Raw genomic sequence first — 2,837 nt, 5'->3', positions numbered from 1 at the left:
CACTGCACTCCAGCCTGGGTGACAGAGCAAGACTCCATCTCAAAAAAAAAAAAAAAAAAGGAAAAGAAAGAAAAAAGAACTAAAAAGACATAAGTCCTCAAATCAAAAACACTCCAAGAACAAACAGCATAAATTAATATGTCTATATAGGGTTTTATCATTATTAAACCACTTAAAATCAAGGATAAAGAGGAATTTTTTTTTTCTTTTTTTGAGATAGGGTCTCACTCTGTCACCCAGGCTGGAGTGTAGTGGTGCAATCACAGCTCACTGTAGCCTCAAACTCCTGGGCTCAAGCAATTCTCCCACCTCAGACTCCCAAGTAACTGGGACCACAAGCCTGCAAGCAGGCACCACCATGCCTAGCTAATATTTGTATTTTAAAGTGCCCATTTAGTTATTTATTTGTTTGTTTATTCAATAAACTTTTTTTTTTTTTAGATGGATTCTTGCTCTGTCACCCAGGCTGGAGTGCAATGCCTCGATGTCTGCTGACTGCAACCTCCACCTCCCAGGTTCAAGTAATTCTCCTGCCTCAGCCTCCTGAGTAGCTGGGATTACAGGCATGAGCCACCACACCCAGCTACTTTTTGTATTTTTAGTAGAGACGGAGTTTCGCCATGTTGGCCAGGCTGGTCTCGAACTCCTGACCTCATGTGATTCACCTGTCTCAGCCTCCCAAAGTGCTGGGATTACAGGCATGAGCCACTGCACCCGGCCTATTCAATAAACATGTATTCAGTCTGTACCTACTGTTCTAGGGACTGTGGACAGAGCACTGAGCAAGATAGGAAAAAACCAGCACGTACTCTGGGTGAGTGTCAGCAGAGCCGGTCTCAGGGGGCATGAGCCATGCAATTACACACTCGGTTTCATGCTGTACGGTGGCCATTTTGAAATCCTTAATAATTTTTCAACAAGAGCCCTCAAGTTTCATTTTGGAACGGGCCCTGCAAATTACGTAGCCGGTCCTGTGTGTCAGGCCAAACTAGCAGATAAGGAAATGAGGCACAGAGAGGGAAACAACTCCACCAAGGTTCACACAGGATGCAAGCCACACAGCTGGGATTGAAACCCAGGTTAGACTGGGTGCAGTGGCTCATGCCTGTAATCCCAGTACTTTGGGAGGCCAAGGCGGATGGATCATCTAAAGTCAGGAGTTCAAGACCAGCCTGACCAACATGGTAAAACTCCATCTCTACTAAAAATACAAAAATTAGCTGGGCGCGGTGGCTCACGCCTGTAATCCCAGCACTTTGGGAGGCCGAGGCGGGTGGATCATGAGGTCAGGAGATTGAGACCATCCTGGCTAACATGGTGAAACCCCATCTCTACTAAAAATACAAAAAATTAGCCGGGCGTGGTGGCAGGCGCCTGTAGTCCAAGCTCCAAGCTACTCGGGAGGCTGAGGCAGGAGAATTGCTTGAACCTGGGAGGCAGAGGTTGCAGTGAGCTGAGATCGTGCCACTGCACTCCAGCCTGGGCAACAGAGTGAGACTCCAAAAAAAAAAAAAACAGGAAAGAAAGAGAGAGAGAGAGAGAGAGAAAGAAAGAGAAAGAAAGAAGAAAGAAAGAAAGAGAGAGAGAGAGAAAGAAAGAAAGGGGAGGGGAGGGGGAAGGGAAGGGGAAGGGGGGGAAGGGAAGGGGGAGGGGAGGGGGAGGGGAAGGGGAGGGGAGGGTAAGGGGAAGGGGAGGAGAAGGGGAGGGGAAGGGGAGGGGAAGGGAAGGGGAAGGGAAGGGGAAGGGAAGGGGAAGGGAAGGGGAAGGGGAAGGGAAGGGACCCAGGCTAACAGACTCCAGATACCAGCAGCAGCCCTTGAGCCATGTTGCCTAATTGTCCCCAAGCAGAAAACTTCCCAGGTCTTCGGAGGCAGCAAAAGCTTTCCTGGCACAGAGCTAGAAAAGAAGATTCTCATGGTGTCCCATGTGGCAGGAACTACAGGAGCTGGGGTGGGTAATCCATTTAGGCCACTTGACAAACACCTATTTGTAGGTCAACTCTGAGAATAGAAAGATGAAAAAGGAGTGGCCTCTGCCATCCTGGAGCTAAGCAACTGGTATAAGGGAAGTGACAGCCCCCATGGAATCGGACCATTTCAACTTCATGCCACGAATGACAGGTCAGGGCTTCTGGGCATGATCATAGGAATGACCACAGCTAACATTGACCATGGGCCTAATTTGTGTGCTGTTTGCTTTTTTTTTTTTTGAGACGGAGTCTCACTCAAGTCGCCAGGCTGGATGGAGTGCAGTGGTGCGATCTCGGCTCACTGCAGCCTCCGCCTCCCAGGTTCAAGCAATTCTCCTGCCTCCCAGGTTCAAGCAATTCTCCTGCCTCAGCCTCCCGAGTAGCTGGGATTACAGGTGCCCTCCACCACGCCTGGCTAATTTTTGTATTTTTAGTAGAGACGGGGTTTCACCATGTTGGCCAGGATGGTCTCAATCTCTTGACCTCGTGATCCGCCCACCTCGCCCTCCCAAAGTGCTGAGATTACAGGCGCGAGCCACTGTGCCCGGCCATGCTGTGCACTTTTTAGCATTTTCTTCAGTTTTTGTTGCAACCTATGAGTCAGGAACTCTTATTATGCTGTTTTACCTAGGAGGAAAAGAGCATTCACAGAGATTAAACGGTGTGTTCAGGCCGGGTGTGGTGGTAATCACATCCATGACCGTAATCCCAGCACTTTGGGAGGCCAAAGCAGGAGGATTGTTTGAGTCCAGGAATTCAAGACCAGCCTGGGCAACTTAGTAAAACCTCCATCTCTTTTTTAAAAAAAAGATAATAAAATACTTTAGGAGGCCAAGGCAGGCAGATCACTTGAGGTCAGGAGTTCGAG

The sequence above is a fragment of the Homo sapiens genome, chromosome 7 (assembly GCF_000001405.40).
Source record: "Homo sapiens chromosome 7, GRCh38.p14 Primary Assembly".
In the NCBI taxonomy this organism is placed as follows: Eukaryota; Metazoa; Chordata; class Mammalia; order Primates; family Hominidae; genus Homo; species Homo sapiens.
Note: the sequence above shows the minus strand (reverse complement) of the source record.